Genomic DNA, 19,247 nt, shown 5'->3' with positions numbered 1-19,247 from the left:
CTTAGAATAAAAAAGATGTATACATGTTTTCCTTTGGAGTGAATTTGTGACTGGAGATGGGGTTTCACTGTGTTAGCCAGGATGGTCTCGATCTCCTGACCTCGTTATCTGCCCTCCTCAGCCTCCCAAAGTGCTGGGATTACAGGTGTGAGCCACCGTGTCTGGCCTATGTGCTTTTTAAAGATGGAACTGATTTAGAATGCAGTATATTACAGTACATGAAAAAATTTTGGAATTTCTGTATGTTTTTCACTGTTGGAAAGCCATAGTGAGTGTAATAACAGCATTGGCTCCTGTTCATAAGGCATTTAAATGATGTGTTTCCTATGACAGGAAGACAAGCGTTTCTCATTCCTTCAAAATTTGGCTCTCAGATGGAGTGCCCTTTAAGCTCCCTGAATGCAGGGACTTCTTCTGTTTCACTCATTGTCTTTTTTCTGGGGCCTAGAACAGAACCTGGCAAACTGAGAGTGCTATGTAAACCTTTGTAGAATGAGCACTTTCCCTGGGGAATCCTCTCTCCACTTTCCACTAGTGAAGATCCCACCTGCTTTTAGGTGCAGGGCCACTCCAGCCTGACTTTCTCTGCAATCTGCAGCCCACAATGATTCTTTGAACATTAACTGTGTATACCACACTCTGTGACAGTGAATCTTTTATAGCTTTATATTGATACATGAGTGTTTCATGTATTTTGTTTCCTCACCCAAAATATAAGCTCTTCAAGGCTACAGGATATCCTATTTTTGAGAATTGCCTTGGTATCCAGTATAATATATAATATTATATAATACCTATAATATATAATGTAATATATGTAATATATAATATATATAATATACATGTATATATACAGAGTAGGTTTATATTTACCTATTAAATGAATGTTACATACCGTGGGGAAACATCAAAGATACTCAAAATGGTAGGTTATATTTTAGTTAGGCAAACCTAGTGTACACATGTGAAACAGTACTAGAATTTGGAGCTAAATAAGAGTTAATACTTATGTCGTGCTTAAAATGTGAACCTCACAACAATCCTTTGAAGTAGGTACAATTATTTCCTCATTTTTCAGAGGAAGAAATGGAGACACAGCAAAGTAATTAAGTTTGTTGCTCAAGATCGTACCGGAAATCATAAGTAGGCAGTCTGGCTCCAGAGGCGGTGTGGTTTCTCTGGGGAGCTTTACTTTATACTTCGAAGGGACATCTAAGCACTACTTTTGCAGCTGTAAGAGATGCTCTTTTAAAAATTTCAAAGTAGCGTAAGAGATTGCAGTGTCTCTAAACTGCAGAAGGAATGCTGGATTTTCTATATAGAGGACATTGATAATGGAATGGTTAAGGGGACATTATATATTGAAATGACTAAAGATGGTGGAGAGAAACTGAAGTTTGAATCTCAAAGCTGAGGATTATGATTTTTTATAGATACTGAATTCTAGAACAGTGATTCACCAGGACATAGGACAATGATTGCTTGTTACTAATTTAGTATCAAAAAACTTATGCCAAATAAAATAATATTGAATGACACTGGATATCTTACTGCATTTCTTTTTTTAAACACTTACCAGATTTGAAGCCCTAGTGGTAGTAATTTACCTTAATGTGGGTATTACTAAAGGTTTCCTATACACTTCTGTCCATTTGCTTTATCTTTTTGTGGAATCTTTTTTTTTTTTTTTTTTTTTGAGACAGGGTCTCACTCTGTCGCCCGGGTTAGAGTACAGTAGTGTGATCTCACTGCAGCCTCTGCCTCAAGCAATCCTCCCACCTCAGCCTCCAGAGTAGCTGGGACTACAGGCACGCACCACTGTGCTCAGCTAATTTTTAAATTTTGTGTAAAGATGAGGTCTCACTATACTGCCCAGGCTGGTCTTGAACTCCTGGGCTCAAACAACCCTCCTCCTGCCTCAGCCTCCCAAAGTGCTGGGTACGTCAGTGAGCCATTGTGCCTGGCCTTTTTGTAGAATCTTTTTTTTTTTTTTAAACAGACTCCGGCTCTGTTGCCCAGGCCGGAGTGCAGCAGCGCGATCTTGCCTCACTGCAGCCCCTGCCTCCCGGATTCAAGCAATTCTTCTGCCTCAGCCTCCCGAATAGTTGTGATTACAGGTGCTTGCCACTACGCCCAGCTAATTTTTCTATTTTTAGTAGAAGACGGGGTTTCACCATGTTGGCCAGGCTGGTCTCGAACTCCTGACCTCAGGTGATCCACCCACCTTGGCCTCCTAAAGTGCTGTGATTACAGGTGTGAACCACTGTGCCCAACCTTTTTGTAGAATCTTGATTCACTTTTTCAGGTTGTATTGAGCAATAGAGAATGCTGTTGGGGTCAGGAGGTCTCTTCAAACCAAGTAATACTCCTTTGGTGGAAAAAAATGTAAAATTGTGTGATTGATTTGGTGACACACCTGGAATAAAGTCAGTTTGAAGCTGTTTAGAATTAGATGAGGGCCTATAAATTTCAGCAAGATGAAGAACAGTGGTATTTCTCTGAAAGTCCCAGTATGTCTCCCTTTTGTTGGGAGCTGACAGTATGATTTTGGGGGCATCGGGCATCAACAGTCACTGAATCTAAATGGCTCCACAGATAGGGGAGTGTATACATCACCACACCAGCTGTCCAGGAATTAGGAGGAAGTGCCCTTGAATGAAGCCTGGGCTGCAAGCCTGGTTAGCAGCCAGGGAGGACACACACACGTTGCAGGTACAGTATTCTGTATTACACAGATTGTTTCTACTGGGAAGGATATCATATCATTTATCTTGGGGGTAGCTTCAGAATTTGAGTCAGTGATGAAATGACTTGCTGCTTTCGTTATGCTCCCTTAAGAAGAACATCATATATTTCGGGATGGCCTGCATAAAAGAAACTTGTAATAATGAATATTGACCTATACCTTGTGTTCTGTTTAAGTATCTGAGGAAGTAATTTGGAAAACTTGAGTTAAAATAGTCTATATTGTAGTTTTTATCCAATTTGCACGTTAGCCCTAATCTTCATTTCAGACTCTTCCCTGAATGGGAAACTTTTAGGGAAAGAGAGAATGATACACTGATTAATTTATTTTCAGCCTACGAAGCTAGGATAATTTAATGAAATCTCTACCAGTCCCATGTTATGAATTTTAGGGTTGGAGAGCTGGATTCTGGACGTGATCTATTCTTTAACTAGGAATGTACAGCAGAATGACCCAGGGTTTATCCTGAAAGTAGCAGATGTCTTCACTTAACTCCTGAGACGCAAATTTGGTAGAGCTGCTGCCACAGGCCCCGGACATCAGTATTAAACCATCCTTAAGTGATTCTGGTGCCTTTTCTCCAGTAAGAAGAACCAGCCCTGTATTTTATATTTAAGAAAACCTGGGCAAACAAATGACTTGCCTAGATTTGGTTCAGTGGTACCAAGATTTAGTCACCAGATAATACAGTTTCAGAATCCTATGGCTGGAAGAAGTTTACCAAGTCATCAATTCAGTAGTTCATCTTACAGCGGAGTGTAAACCATGCTTTTCAATTATTTGCGGTTCTTTTACTGTATACCCTGTGATGCCCTTTTAAGTTTTTTTGAAAATATTGTATACTTAAAACTGAAGTGAAACATTAAAATTTCTTATTAGAATTATTTTTCAGTCTTAGCTGAAATACAATATTGTATGAAAATTTGCACTGCATTATTAGTTTTTTTTTTTAATCTAGTTGATTTTCAACTTTTCTTTTTTAAAGGCATCTCCTTGGAAACAATGCCATCTTTGAATGTGAGAGATAAACCTAGTTTCAGCATGTCTGCAGCAGAGACCAGTACATCAGGCTTATTCCCACAGGAAGCCTCCTAAAGCCTGTGGCGCGGCAACCATTTCCAGGACTAAATAATAATGTGTCAGATGCCTGTGAGTGGACTGCCTGGCCAAATGACTCATGAAGATATTCACGGAAGAATAGTCAAAAACCAAAGAAAAGGCATATTCTAGAAGCACCTTCAATTCCATCGAGGATTTTTGAGCAGCTGAAGAAGAAAGTTCTGAAAATATGAGTGACAGGACTCCAGCACATTTTTTTTAGTTGTTTCTTACATTATCTTTGTTAACCCATCCGCTTTTGTGTATAATATTAAGTTATTTTCCACTACTGCAATGGCTAGTAATTTACTTAGGCTCAGAGTTTTACTCTGTATGGACAGAGAAATAGGAGGTAACAACAGTGGGAGAACAAATAGGAACAGTTCACTGGGATGTTGGTCCCCAGAAATTGGCTTTCATTGAATAATTCCTAAAGGGTGTCGTGTGCTGAATTGCTTTTTCATAGTGATGTGCTGCTTCTTGTTCATACTCTTATGACTTTAATTTCACCTTTATCTACTCCCAGCCTCTGTATATGCCTACGTTTTTAAAAATAATTTTTGGCACTGAAGATCTGATTACCATATTTTTTCAGTTTAAAAATTAAATCCTCGCAAATAGATCTTTGGTATAGTTGCATTCTACCCTAGGTTATTTTCTAGGATCAAGAATAGAACAATTTCTGTTCTTTCCAGCATTACTCTTTACTATTCATATGTTCTTGTTCAGTGTTTTGTTGTTCTCATATTCTAGGTGGAAATGAAGGGTAATCTCTATGTTCTATTTTCAGTTTTCTAGGAAACCAGAAAAACATGGGTAGTAGAAATGTATAGAAAATGTATGAGGTCTCTTAACCATTGTGTTAAACTTGCATTAAGCTTCTTTTTTAGCAATATCGATGTCAGTGTTACCTCTTCTTTCCTTTTTATTTATTTTTTTTGAGACAGAGTCTCATTCTGTCGCCCAGACTGGTTGGAGTGCGATGATGCGATCGCGGCTAACTGCAACCGCTGCCTCCCAGGTACAAGTAATTCTCGTGCCTTGGGCTCCCGAGTAGCTGGGATTTTTAGTAGAGAACAGGTTTCACCATATTGGCCAGGCTGGTCTTGAACTCGCAACCTCAGGTGATCCACCCACCTCAGCCTCCCCAAAGTGTTGGGATTACAGGCATGAGCCACCATACCTGGCCCCTTTTGTTGTTTTGAGGGGCAGGCAGTAAGAAGCAGGGATTTCTTCAAATGCTAGTAAGCACAAAGAGAGGGAGAAGTTTTTGTAAGTAACGAACAGGGCCGGGCATGGTGGCGTGAGAGGCCGAGGTGGGCAGATCACGAGGTCAGGAGTTCGAGACCAGCCTGACCAACATAGTGAAACCCCCGTCTCCACTAGAAATACAAAAATTAGCCGGGCATGGTGGTGCACGCCTGTAATCCAGCTAGTCAGGAGGCTGAGGCAGGAGAATCGCTTGAACCTGGGAGGTGGAGGTTGCAGGGAGCTGAGATCACGCCACTGCACTCCAGCCTGGGCGACAGAGTAAGACTCCCGTCTCAAAAAAAAAAAAAAAAAAAAAAGAACAGTTGATCATTAAGGCCATTAATGTGCATGGACAGTTTGTTGCCCAGGTTGGAGTGTGATGACGACGCAATCTCGGTAAATATAAACCTACTCTGTAACCTCCACCTCCTGGGCTCAAGCAGTTCTCGTGCTTCAGCCTCCCGAGTAGCTGGGATCACAGGCATGCGCCACTAAGCCCAGCTAATTTTTGTATTTTTAGTAGAGACGGGGTTTCACCATGTTGGCCAGGCTGGTCTTGAACTCCTGGCCTCAAGTGATGCGCCTGCCTGGGCCTCCCAAAGTGCTGGGATTACAGGTGTGAGCCACTGCACCTGGCCCAATAGGCACATTTTTTTAATAAGTAGTTTGTTGATTAGAACGAAGAGCACTTGCCGTAAGTGCATGTCATTGTTTTCAGCTGTTATGGCTAAGTCAGTTAACCTCATCAACAATTTTTTCTTCTGTAAATTGAGGACAATTTTTGCTTTTATGAATGAAGTCTTAACCAGCAGGAAGAAATATAAACAAAGGAACATATTTTTAATTTAATGAAGCAAAATTCCATACATCATTTTGAAAATAGTGTTTCTTTCCCTGATAGGCCTGTTCTGCATCATTCTTTTAGCTTCCTTCTGCCCTGTTTATCACTTGGTCCCACTTTTATATTTTTCCTCTTCGGTCCAGAATTTCTTATTTAGTTTCTTGTATTTTGCCTACTCCCTCCCTTCTCCATGATTCAGCCTAGTCTTTCCGTCCTCTGTGGACTTGGGTGTGCCTTCCTCTGGGCCACCTCGTCTTTTGCTGCTGTTAGCCCTCCCGCCTGCGCACCTGCCACTTCACCCTCGCCTGTGGTCCACTTACGTTCCACTCAGCCCGGTCAGTCCTGCTTTGTTCTTCTCCACCGCCTTGGTCTCCCGTGTGTCTTATCTAGCTCTGGTTCCTTCTCGTCTCCACATTTATTTTGTTTTCTTCCTGTGCTTGTTAGTCCTTGTGCACTTGGTCCTTGAGCTCTTTTTCTATTAATAGGTATTACTAGATGGATTTGTTGTCTGCCTTTACATAGAACACACATCCTTACTGTGCATTTCCTGGGTAGCCAGGATGAATCAATTATTATTAACTTCCCTTCGAACATTGAGCTTCCTCTGTTTTCTGTTTCTAAGAATTAGATTAGTATTCTAGAAGACTAATACTACTTTAAAGACAGTCAAAACAGTCATACGCTGCCATTTCAGCCCTTTATTTAAGAGTTTGTGACATTTATCACTCCCTTGAAAGATTAAAGAACACCCAAAGCAAGTTTGGGGTGGAGGTGGGGAAGGCAGGAAGAGAAAGGTAAGTGCTATAAAAGGACTCATTGTTAATTTCTAGAAATTGGACTGAGATCTGAAAGCATAAGCCTTAACATTTTTTAGATAAACGGTCCCTGAAAAGAATAAAAAGTATCAGTACTTCCGTTAACTAGCTTTAGTATTGGGTCATTTGTAGTTTACATTCTCCTTTAAGTTTTAAGACCTTCAGTAGTTAACAAAGCAGACAGAGACTGGCCAGGCACAGTGGCTCACACCTGTAATACCAGCACTTTGGGAGGCTGAGTTGGGTGGATCACAAGGTCAGGAGATTGAAACCATCCTGGCCAACATGGTGAAACCCCGTCTCTACTAAAAATACAAAAAAAAAAAAAAATTAGCCAGGCGTGGTGGCAGGCACCTGTAGTCCCAGCTACTCGGGAGGCTGGGGCAGGAGAATTTCTTGAACCCGGGAGGCCGAGGTTGCAGTGAGCTGAGATCGCGCCACTGCACTCCAGCCTGGGTGACAGCGAGACTCTGTCTCAAAAAGAAAAAAAAAAAAAAAAGCAGAGACTTAATCTTGTAAATACTCATTTTATTTTTGAGAGGCTTAATGTCTCCTTAAATATTAACCTGTGTCATTTTGTAATTATACTGTAATAGTGTCAGAATGCCATTAACAACCAACCCTTTTCGTTTCTTGTGTGGGAAAGCTCATAAATTGTGTGGTCTTACCCCTCTGGACCCTGTAGTTGTAGCATTGTGAAAATGGAGCTTTTGGCAAAACTTTGTATTATGCTGTTGACTCACATTGTCTCATATTTTTCCTTTATTCTTCTATATTCTATGAATATGGTGCTGTCCTGTCATTTAATTATTATAATATATGTGAACTGCTGGAGGTAGACTGATGTGAGTGCAGTTTTTCAACTTAAAAACCCTTATATATCACATTCATGGTGTTTAAGATATAAGAACAGCCCTACAAAGAGGGGTTGATTGTATTGAAGATTCTTTCTGCTGAGCCTGCCTTAATTGTGAGGGTGGTTGTTTGGGTATCTTAGAGCTAAAAGAATGGCTAAGAGTCCATTAATGGTCCTGTAATATTCACCATCCCTGAGCAGTTAGTAAAGAATGGCCGCAAAGCCACAATTAGGCTACTAACAAGGAACTTATGTAGATGTGCTAGGTCCAGCCTGTGTTCTGGAACTATAGAGATGAATAAGGTATGGTCCTTTCTCTCTGGAGGCTCACAGTTGAATAGGGAATATTAATACGTGAATGATAGCAGTACAGTGTGGCAGATGCTAAAATATATGTGTGTAGCAGCTATTACAGGAGAACTGATTAATAGGGAGAGTCTGGCTGGGCTCAGTGACTCACCCCTGTAATCCCAGCACTTTGGGAGGCCGAGGCGGGCAGATCACTTGAGGTCAGGAGTTCGAGACCAGCCTGGCCAACATGGTAAAACCTCATCTCTACTAAAAAATACAAAGAAAATTAGCAAGGCGTGGTGGCGGGCATCTGTAATCCCAGCTACTGGGGAGGCTGAAGCAGGAGAATCCCTTGAACCCGGGAGGTGGAGGTTGCAGTGAGCTGAGATCATGCCACTGCACTCCAGCCTGGGTGACAGAGTAAGACTGTCTCAAAAACAAAACCCAAAATACTAACCATATTTATAGTTAGTCACCTCACCCTTTTTTTAGTTAAAAGAAGTTTATTTAGCCTGATCAGTTTACCAGATGTCTTTTTTAGTGACTTTTGTGTCTTCCATAAATCCATTCTCAAAATTTGCAACAGTTGAGCATATTTGACCAAAATGTGCCACAGGTTTCTGAAGCCTGTTCAAGAAGAAGCATGTCAACATTATTGGAGTAGGTCTTCGCAATGACTACTTTTGGGAAGATTTGAGTAAAATTTATGGATACAGAAGTTTTGGAGTATGTTAGAATATTACTAAGTCTTTTTATAGTTGTAATCCCAACACTGGGTTATATATATTTAATACCAACCTGAGTATATTTCCTGAATAATATCTGTTTTGGAGACTTGGACAAAGTTAACTTTTTTGCTTTTTTAAAAGTTGCTGTTTAAATTAACTTCCTGCATTTCTAATGTAGAAAAAATATGGCACAGTGATTTGAATTTTGTTTATGGTTTATTATCTTCCTAAATTATCAGCTCTTTAAAATATGGGTCTCTGGCCTGTATACCATCTGATAAATTAGGTTGGGTAAATTTTTCACCTGAAAAAATTCATTCTTTTGACCCAGGTTGTTTGGCTTGGAAAAAAAAAATCACATACTCATTGCATGATTAAACTTGTCCATCAGATTGTGATTTTGTGCGTTATGAGGATTGTAGCTGGGGTAATTTTAAAATGTTGGTATTTGGATAGAACTGCCAGCCCAGGATTTTGATAAAGATCAAAATATATACTGTATCTAAAGTTTCTTTTTTAAAAGTTATTTCACTTATAATCAAAAGGTTTAAATAAGTTTAGTGTATATTTTATGATTAGTATTATTTTGTATCGATTCAGAGAGAGGAAAACTGCATTCCCATAGACAGGGAGACTTGGTGCATTAATATCCAAAGCTTAGTTTAAGCTGGTGATGATTAGAAAAGTGGCTTTCATTTGTGTTCTCTGGAAGATTCTCAGTAGTCCTGTGGGCATGTGAACAAGAGCATGTGTAATCTTCATAATGTATGTCTTGTTAGCAGAAATGTCTGAGGCATTGCTGAGATGTAGGATGAGCTGAGGTACTGGTTTTGTCTTTCATGGTTCCCTATTATGTTTTTTGAGAAACTGAGCTTTTCCTGACAGTGTTTAGTTTTTCTTGGCTATTTACTATGCTATTAATAGTAACAGTTTCCATTATGGAGCCTCAGTAGGTTCTTGACATACATTAACCCATTGCTATTATGTAATTTTCTAATAAAATGATGTGATAAAACATATTTTCTGTAATATACTCATAGAATATGTGATTATAAGTAAATAAATAGATGTTGGGGTAGTCCTCCAGATTGGTTGTATTACATTTTATTTTTTTCAAAATTCTTTTAATTTTAAAATTTCTTATTTATTACATTTAAAAAAATGAGGAAATGGGCCAGGTGAGGTAGCTCACACATGTAATTACAGTGCTTTGAGAGGCCAAGGCAGGAGGATCACTTGAGCCTTGGAGTTCAAGAGCAGCCTAGTTAACATAGCAAGACTCCATCTCTTTGAAAAAAATTAGCTGGGTGTGGTGGCATGTGCCTGTAGTCCCATCTACTTGGGAAAGTGAAGTGGAAGGATTGCTTGAGCCAAAGAGTTTGAGGTTATGGTGAGGTACGATCACGCCACTGCACTCCAGCCTGTGTGACAGGGTAAGACCCTGTCTCAAAAAATAATAATAATAATAATAATAGGCCGGGCTCGGTGGCTCATGCCTGTAATCCCAGCACTTTGGGAGGCTGAGGCGGGGGGATCACCCGAGATCAGGAGTTCGAGACCAGCCTGACCAACATGGAGAAACCCCGTTTCTACTAAAAATACAAAAATTAGTCGGGCATGGTGGCGCATGCCTATAATCCTGGCTACTCGGGAGGCTGAGGCAGGAGAATCGCTTGAACCCAGGAGGCAGAGGTTATGGTAAGCCAAGATCGCACCACTGCACTCCAGCCTGGGCAATGAGCGAAACTCCATCTCAAAAAAAATTAAAAAAATAAAATAGGACATTGAGGCAGGATATGATGGAATTACCCAAGATCGTGCAGAAAGTAAATGATTAAGCCAGGATTTTAATCTAAGTCTGATTAAATCCTGTGCTTTCAACCACTTTTCTGTACTGCCTTTTCAAATATTTCCCCTTGAAAAAGTAAAATTTGGCTGTTTTATAAATGCATATTCTTTTTTCTTTTCTTTTTTTTTTTGAGATGGAGTCTCGCTTTGTCGCCCAGGCTGGAGTGCAGTGGCATTATCTCTGCTCAATGCAAGTTCTCCTTCCCGGGTTCACGCCATTGTCCTGCCTCAGCCTCCTGCGTAGCTGGGACTAAAGGTGCCCACCACTACGCCCGGCTAACTTTTTTGTACTTTTAGTAGAGACGGGGTTTCACCGTGTTAGCCAGGATGGTCTCGATCTCCTGACCTCGTGATCTGCCTGCCTCGGCCTCCCAAAGTTCTGGGATTACAGGTGTGAGCCACCGCGCCCTGTCATATAAATGCACATTCTTTTGAGCTAAGGAGTACTCTATCAATATCCTGTGGTATACACCTTTTCCAAAATAACATATCTTTGTTCCTGGTTGTAGAAGTAATGAGGTTCAGTGTTAAGAGCAATCAGTGCTTAGTGGTAATAGAAAATCAGGTAATACAGAAAGGTATAAAGAAGAGAGCAGTGAAAATGACTAGTAGTTCTACCACCCAGAGGTTAACATTTTGATGTATAGTTTCGCTGACTTTTTGGTGTATAGACACATACACATGTTTTTAAAATACAAATAGATTTATAATAGGCATGTTGTTTTTAATTCTAATTTCATTTATTATATTTTGGCCATTATTCTATGTCATTATACATTTATATCTTCATTCAAAATTTTTTCCTTTATTTATTTATTTTTTTTGAGACGGAGTTTCGCTCTTGTTGCCCAAGCTGGAGTGCAGTGGCGCGATCTCGGCTCACCGCAGCCTCCACCTCCTGGGTTTAAGCGATTCTCCTGTTTCAGCCTCCCGAGTAGCTGGGACTACAGGCATGCGCCACCACGCCTGGCTAATTTTGTATTTTTAGTAGATATGGGGTTTCTCCATGTTGGTCTTGAACTCCCAACCTCAGGTGATCCGCCCTCCTCAGCCCCCCAAAGTGCTAGGGTTACAGGTGTGAGCCACTGCATCCGGCCTTTTCCCCATTTTTAAAAATGAACTGTTTTTAAGAAAAGTTTTAGATTTATAGAAAAGTTGCAAAGATTAATAGAGCTCCTGTATACTCCACATCTAGTTTCTTTTTTTTTTTTCCTTAATTTTGAAATGGAGGCTTGCTCTGTCGCCCAGGCTGGAGTGCAATGGTGCGATCTTGGCTCACCGCAAGCTCAGCCTCCCCAGTAGCTGAGATTACAGGCATACCCCACCACACCCGGCTAATTTTTGTATTTTTAGTAGAGACGGGGTTTCACCATGTTGGTAAGCCTGGTCTCGCACTCCTGACCTGGTGATCTGCCCGCCTCCGCCTCCCAAAGTGCTGGGGTTACAGGCGCGAGCCACCACACCCGGCCCACTTTTTTTTTTTTTTTTTGAGACAGGCTCTTACTCTGTTACTCAGGCTGGAGTGCAGTGGTACGAACTCAGCTCACTGCAGCCTCGATTCTCAGGCTCAAGCAGTCCTTCCACCTCAGCCTCCCAAGTAGCTGGTACTATAGGCGCACGCCACCATGCATGGCAAATTTTTCTATTTTTTTGTAAAGGCGGGGTCCTGCTATGTTGCTCAGGCAGTTCTCAAACTCCTGGACTTAAGTGATCCACCCACCGTGACCCCTCAAAGTGCTGAGACTACAGGTGGAAGCCAGTGCACCTGTTGCCAGTTTCTCCTATTAACATTTTACATTCATGTCATACATTTGCTAAAATTAATGAACCAATATCAATACATTATTATTATTATTACCAAAATTTCATACTTTATTCAGATTTCAGTCATTGGCTGTGACAGTTTCTTTTTTTTTTTTTGAGACAGAGTCTCTCTCTGTCGCCCAGGCTGGGGTGCAGTGGCGCGATCTCGGCTCACTGCAACCTCTGCCTCCTGGGTTCACGCCATTCTCCTGGCTCAGCCTCCCGAGTAGCTGAGACTACAGGTGCCCACCACCACACCCAGCTAATTTTTTGTATTTTTAGTAGAGACGGGGTTTCACTGTGTTAGCCAGGAGGGTCTCGATCTCCTGACCTAGTGATCCGCCCACCTTGGCCTCCCAAAGTCCTGGGATTACAGGCGTGAGCCACCACACCCAGCCGGCTGTGATGTTTCTAAGACTTCTTTTTTTTTTTTTAAATGACCTTGACAGTTTTCAGTTCACCAGTCAGATATTTTGTAGAATGTTGCTCAGTTGAGATTCGTCTGTTGTTTTTCTCATGGTTATGCTGGGGTTAGGAGTTTCAGGGAGGGAGATCACAGAGGCAGCAGGCCATTTTCATCACATCATTTCAGAGGTATATACAGTCAACATGACTCATCAGTGTTGATGTTGACCTTAGTCACTCTGCTGGGGTCGTGTTTGCCCAGCTTCACCACTGCAGAGTTCCTCCTTCTTACCTGTTTCTGTGCTTCCCTCTTGGGAAGGCAGCCCACGCTTCAGGAGTGGGAAGTTATGCCTACCTCCTTGAGGGCAGAATATCTATGTAGATGATTTGGAGTTCTGTACAGGAGCTGTATCTATCTCCTCCATTTCTTTATTCAACATTTATATCTGTATATACTCATGAATATACCCTGGGTTATAATCCAATGCTACTTTATTTATTGCTCAGATTGTTCTAGCTTTTGTCGTTGGGAGCTATTTCAGTTGGTTCCTGTGCCCCCTTGCCATATCCCTATCATCGTGGGTTTATATCTTAATTTTTTAAATATCTGCATGGTATTCCATTGTAAGAATGTACTCTACTATAATTTAACCAATCCCTTATTGATGGCAATTGAGGTATCAAATCAGTTGTAAACAATACTGTGATAAGCAGTCTTCAGAAGACATTTATGAAAATTGTCGATCATGTATTCAGAAAGGTCTGCCCATTTTACTTTCTTTTTTTTTTTTTTTTTTTTTTTTGAGACAGAGTCTTGCTCTGTTGCCCAGGCTGGAGTGCAGTGGTGCGATCTCAGCTCATCGCAACCTCCACCTCCCAGGTGTGAGCAATTCTCCTGCCTCAGCCTCTTGAGTAGCTGGGATTACAGGTGCTCTCCACCATGCCCAGCTAATTTTTGTATTTGTGGTACAGACGGGGTTTCACCATGTTGGTCAGGCTGGTCTCAAACTCCCAACCTCAAGTGATCCACCCACCTCGGTCTCCCAAAGTGCTGGGATTACAGGGGTGAGCCACCGTGCCCAGCCATTTTACATTTCATGTGATATGTGACTCTTAATAATACGTAAGCAGATTTCAGAGGCGTGAGCATTCTCACGAAAAATAGAGGTGTATCTGTCACCAGAGTTGCCTCCCTTCCTTTTTCTGTATTTCCTTTAGTGAGGGATGATGGTGGGTGTGGCACCAGCAGTCCTAAAGAGCTGCTTTGAGATCACACTTGTCTGAGACACCTGTGCCTTTTCAATATAGAGTCAGCTACTGTAGACAGCTAACAAAAGATGAACTAAAACTCAATTCAGAAAAAAACAAAACAGCATTCTCAGAGTAAAAATATTAGACCTGGAAGCAACCTTAGAAATCATCATGCTTTAGCAGTGGATTTTAGAAATAGGAAACTTTTTATTAGGTGAGATGATTTGCCTGGGATTATGCAGTAGCAAAAGCATTTAAGAATCTGGATTTCTGCCTCAGTCTCAGAATTTCTTGTTACATGGGTATATTTTATTTTTATTTTTATTTATTTATTTATTTATTTATTTGAGATGGAGTTTTGCTCTTGTTGCTTAAGCTGGAGTGCAATGGCACAGTCTTGGCTCACTGTAACCTCTGCCTCCCGGGTTCAAGCGATTCTCCTGCCTCAGCCTCCCAAGTAGCTGGGATTACAGGCGCTCGCCACCACAACTGGCTCATTTTTGTGTTTTTAGTAGAGACAGGGTTTCACCATGTTGGCAAGGCTGGTCTCGAACTCCTGACCTTGTGATCTGCCCGACTCGGCCTCCTAAAATGCTGGGATTACAGGGGTGAGCCACAGCGCCCAGCCTGCATGGGTATATTTTATATCTCATGCAAGGATATGCACAATTTTTTATGTTGGAAATTTTTAAGCTTAAAGAAGACAAAATAGTGTAATTAATCATGTCCCCACCACCCAGCTTTATAAATTTGTGGCCAATCGTGTTAAAACTTCTACCCACTCCCCCCACCACCATGTTATTTTGAAGTAAATCCCACATATTAAATCACTATAAATATTTCAGTATATTCAAAAGGAAAAAACTTTTTTCAAAGCATAACCATAATACCATTTTCATATCTTAAAAGCCTTTCTATTTAAGAATATTTAGTTGTAAAAATTTCCAGAAGTTGTGTTTATCATGAATTAAAATGTGGCTTTAGTGAAAATACAGTTCCTTGGTATACTCTCCCAGCAATTAGGGAGAGATTCTGTCCACCAGCAGAATGGCCTGGGTTACAGCTTTTATCAAAATCTGCTGTCTGAGGGTCTTAGTTGGAAGAAATAATCTCCTATTTGAGTTCTTCGAGGCCGAAAGATTGATAATGACTGTATGGCCGATCTCTAACTATATATTGTTGCTTTTTTACCTTAATTAACTCTTAAGCTTTGTACGTGAGGAAGAAATTCCAAGGACATATCACAAGAAGAATTATTTTTCAGATTTCGCCACTAGCCGAAGCCACGGATGGGAATGTGGTGGTGGAGCTGTTCCACTCAGATCTTCTGTGAGGGATTTCTGAAGGTCAAGTAACATTCTTACGTGTAATTTCCTGCATTGGGACTTTACAAAGCTTCTAAGAAAACCAACATGTTGATTTTGCATTTGTTTTTAAGAAGATGACTTCAGAGGAAAGAATACCCCTGATATCAGAGATGAACCTAAAGGCAGAATGGACAGTGCTTATTCTATTTTCTTCAAGCAGCACATTAAGTGGATTACTTGACTGTTGATGACTTAAAAGGATGATTAATACTCTTGATGTTTTAAATATTGTCTTTTCTTGGGGTTTCACTTGATCTTTAAAATTAAGTGAGATACTAGCCCTGTCTCAAAAACTTTATAACCAGAACAGCAAATTTCCTTTTAAATACCCATTTACTTGCATTGAATTTATGCTATAATAGCCTCTGTTTGTTCACATACTGTTAAAATATGCAATTTATTTATTTATTTATTTTATTTATTTATTTAGTTTTTTGAGACAGAGTTTCGCTGTTGTTGCCCAGGCTGGAGTGCAATGGCACAATCTCGGCTCACCGCATCCTCCACCTCCCAGGTTCAAGCGATTCTCCTGCCTCAACCTCCGTAGTAGCTGGGACTACAGGCATGTGCCACCATGCCCAGCTAATTTTGTATTTTTAGTAGAGACGGGGTTTCACCATATTGGCCAGGCTGGTCTCGAACTCCTGACCTCGTGATCTGCCCGCCTCGGCCTCTCAAAGTGCTGGGATTGCAGGCATGAGCCACCACACCTGGCCTCTAAGCTACTTTTAAAACCCCTTTTTGCTGGGAGCAGTGGTGCATACCCGCAATCCCAGCACTTTGGGAGGCCAAAGTGGGAGAATTGCTTGAGGCCAGGAGTTCAAGACTAACCTGGGCAACACAGAGAGACCCCCCCCACCCCGCCATCTCTACAGATTTTTTTTTTTTATTATTATTAGCCAGGTGTGGTGATGCATACCTATAGTCTTAGCTACTCAGGAGGTTGAGGCAGGAGGCTCGCCTGGGCCCAGGAATTCAAGGGTGTAGTGAGCCATGCTCGCACCACCACACTCCAACCTGGGTGACAGAACAAGTCTCTAAAGAAGAGAAAAGAAACCTTTTTGCTACAATAATACCTTTTTTTTTGAGATGGAGTCCTGCTCTGTCGCCCAGGCTGGAGTGCAGTGGCACGATCTCAGCTCACTGCAACCTCCGCCTCCCGGGTTCAAGTGATTCTCCTGCCTCAGCCTCCCAAGTAGCTGGGATTACAGGCACCTGCTGCCACACTCAGCTGGTTTTTGTATTTTTAGTGGAGACAGGGTTTCACCATGTTGGCCAGGCTGGTCTTGAACTCCTGACCTAAGGTGATCCACCCGCCTCGGCCCCCCAAAGTGGTAGGATTACAGGCGTGAGCCACCATGCCTGGCCAGTAGTGCTTTTTCTTAACCCTTTTTGCTTTGAAATTGTATTACTTTTCTTAACTTTGACACCTTGGCTATTTACCAGCTGAAGTTGAATGAATTTCTTGTCTTCTCCATCCTTCGGTGTCCTCATCTGAAAAGTAAGGATATTTATCAGCAGCCACCTCATTGGATTGTCTGTTGAGTTAAATGAGATAGGCTCTAGTACCTGGGACGTGATAACTGCTTGCTCACTATTATTCTGGCAGTCTTCTCCTCTCTAGCCATCCATTTGCATCTTTCCCCTTTACGTGCTTGTACCTTCACTTAGGTTAGGAAAAATGGTTTATGTCTCCTAAATGGGCAACCCTCTTCACAAACTTTTAAAAAACTTTTTGTTTTTAAATGATTACAGACTCACAGGAAGTTAAAAAAGTAGTACGGAGAGGTCCTGTTTACCCTCTACTCAGTTTTCCCCAAAAACCCAGAAAATTGCCATAAATCTGAGTCACCCACAGAGCTTATTCCCAGATTTCCCTGTTTTACATGCACTCATTGGTGAAGCGTGTCCATAGTTCTGTACAATTTGATCACGTGTAGATTTGTGTTACCACTACCACAATCAAGATACAGAATTGGCTGGGCATAGTGGTTCACACCTGTAATCCCAGCCTTTTGGGAGGCTGAGGCAGGAGGATCGCTTGAGCCCAGGAGTTTGAGACCAGTCTGGGCAACATGGCAAAACCCCATCTCTACAAAAAGTACAAAAATCAGCCAGGTGTGATGGCATGCATCTGTAGTCCCAGCTACTCAGGAGGCTGAGGTGGGAGCATCACTTGAGCCCAGGAGGTTGAGGCTGCAGTGAGCGATGATGGTGCCATTGTACTGTAGCCTGGGCAGCAGAGGGAGACCCTGTCTCAAGAAGAAAAAAAATACAGGATCGATTCATCACCCCAAGGCTTTCCCTTTGCTACCCCTTTATAGCAAGCCCCTAACTGCTGGTAGCCACTAATCTGATCTCATTTTGAGAATACTATATAAATGGAATCATGCAATCTGTAACCTTTTGAGATTGGCTTTTTTCACTCAGCATAATGCCCTTGAGATCCATTGAGTATTGAGTATGCATTGAGTCCTGAGTATCAGCAGTTTGTTACTTTTTACTGCTGAGTAGTATTCCATGATGCAGGTATACCACAGCCTAGCCATTTGTCCATTGAAGGACATTTGGGTTATTTTGTTTTTACAAATAGTGTTGCTATGAACATTTGTGTACGGGTTTTTCTGTGGACCTAAGTTTTCATTTCTGTGGGAAAAATGCTGAAGAGTGTGATTGCTAGATCAAATTTTTTTTAAATGGAACATTAGGCTTTTTTGAATATACATGCTAATGCAGTCAGCACTTATAAACAGTCATTTCTTAATGGCAACCATTATAAATAATATACATTGCACCTTGTTTTAAAATATCTTTCTGTATAATTTGCAGCTGAGTCCAACATATAGAACCCTGTCTTATGTATACTGTAAGACAACACGTACTCAAATATTATTTTCTTTTCTTAATGAATCCCTTTTAATGTTTTATTGAGCTTTTTCTTGTGGGGAATAATTACCGTTCTCAGACAGTACATTTGGATGGGGAAAATATTTCAAGTAATGGGGTTTTTTTTTTTGGTTTGTTTTTTGTTTTTTTGTTTTGAGGTGGAGTCTTGCTCTGTCACCCAGGCTGGAGTGCAGTGGCATGATCTCAGCTCACTGCAAGCTCCGCCTCCCGGGTTCACGCCCTTCTCCTGCCTCAGCCTCCCGAGTAGCTGGGACTACAGGCACCCGCCACCACGCCCGGCTAATTTTTTACATTTTCAGTGGAGATGGGGTTTCACTGTGTTAGCCAGGATGGTCTCAATCTCCTGACCCCATGATCCGCCCACCTCGGCCTCCCAAAGTGCTGGGATTACAGGCGTAAGCCACCGCCCCCAGCCTCAAGTAACGGGCTTTTAAAATATCAATTCTTTGTAATGTGGTAGAGGTTAATTTTTACTTATTTATTTTTTTGGTGTTCCTGGGTGGACATGAAGAATTTTTAAAATACTTATAAAGATGGGCATAAAGAGGCTGGGCGCGGTGGCTCATGCCTGTAATCCCAGCACTTTGGGAGGCTGAGGCGGGCGGATCACTTGAGGTCAGGAGTTTGAGACCAGCCTGGCCAACATGGTGAAACCCCGTTTCTACTAAAAATACAAAAATTAACTAGGTGTGATGGTGGGTGCCTGTAATCCCAGCTGCTTGGGAGGCTGAGGCAGGAGAATTGCTTGAACCCGGGAGATGGAGGTTGTAGTGAGCCGAGATCATGTCACTACACTCCAGCCTAGGCAACAGAGTGAGGCTCTGTCTTAAAAAAAAAAAAAAAAAAAAAAAGATTAGCATAAAGAGTTGGGAAATTGGGAAACTCATTAATTGACTAATGTCCGGCAACATTTCAACTGATTGGTAGAGCACCACTGGCACTTTTGTTTTCCAAAATGTTTGGGGTCCTAATATGTTTTATAAAATCATTGTCTTCCAGGCTAATTATACATGATAAATTATCAGAGTGAGGCTACAAAT

The 19,247-nt window shown here is 41.4% G+C and overlaps 1 protein-coding gene across 11 annotated transcripts in view; it reads left to right on the top strand.

The window, feature by feature from the left end:
* The window catches only part of SLC20A2 (solute carrier family 20 member 2), a 125,480-nt gene that overhangs the window by 2,888 nt on the left and 103,345 nt on the right, over positions 1 to 19,247 (top strand). Inside the window, exon 2 of one of the 11 annotated variants that reach the window (XM_047422121.1) lies at positions 15,142 to 15,279. The exons of 9 other annotated variants lie outside the window; for them this stretch is intronic. The gene's annotated coding sequence lies outside the window, so the exon portion shown is untranslated. Of the gene's footprint in view, positions 1 to 12,703; positions 15,280 to 19,247 lie in introns of those variants that run through there. One more of the 11 variants, XM_047422123.1, reaches the window with a different exon arrangement.

This window comes from Homo sapiens, chromosome 8 (assembly GCF_000001405.40).
Source record: "Homo sapiens chromosome 8, GRCh38.p14 Primary Assembly".
In the NCBI taxonomy this organism is placed as follows: domain Eukaryota; kingdom Metazoa; phylum Chordata; class Mammalia; order Primates; family Hominidae; genus Homo; species Homo sapiens.
This window is presented reverse-complemented; position numbering and strand designations above follow the sequence as displayed.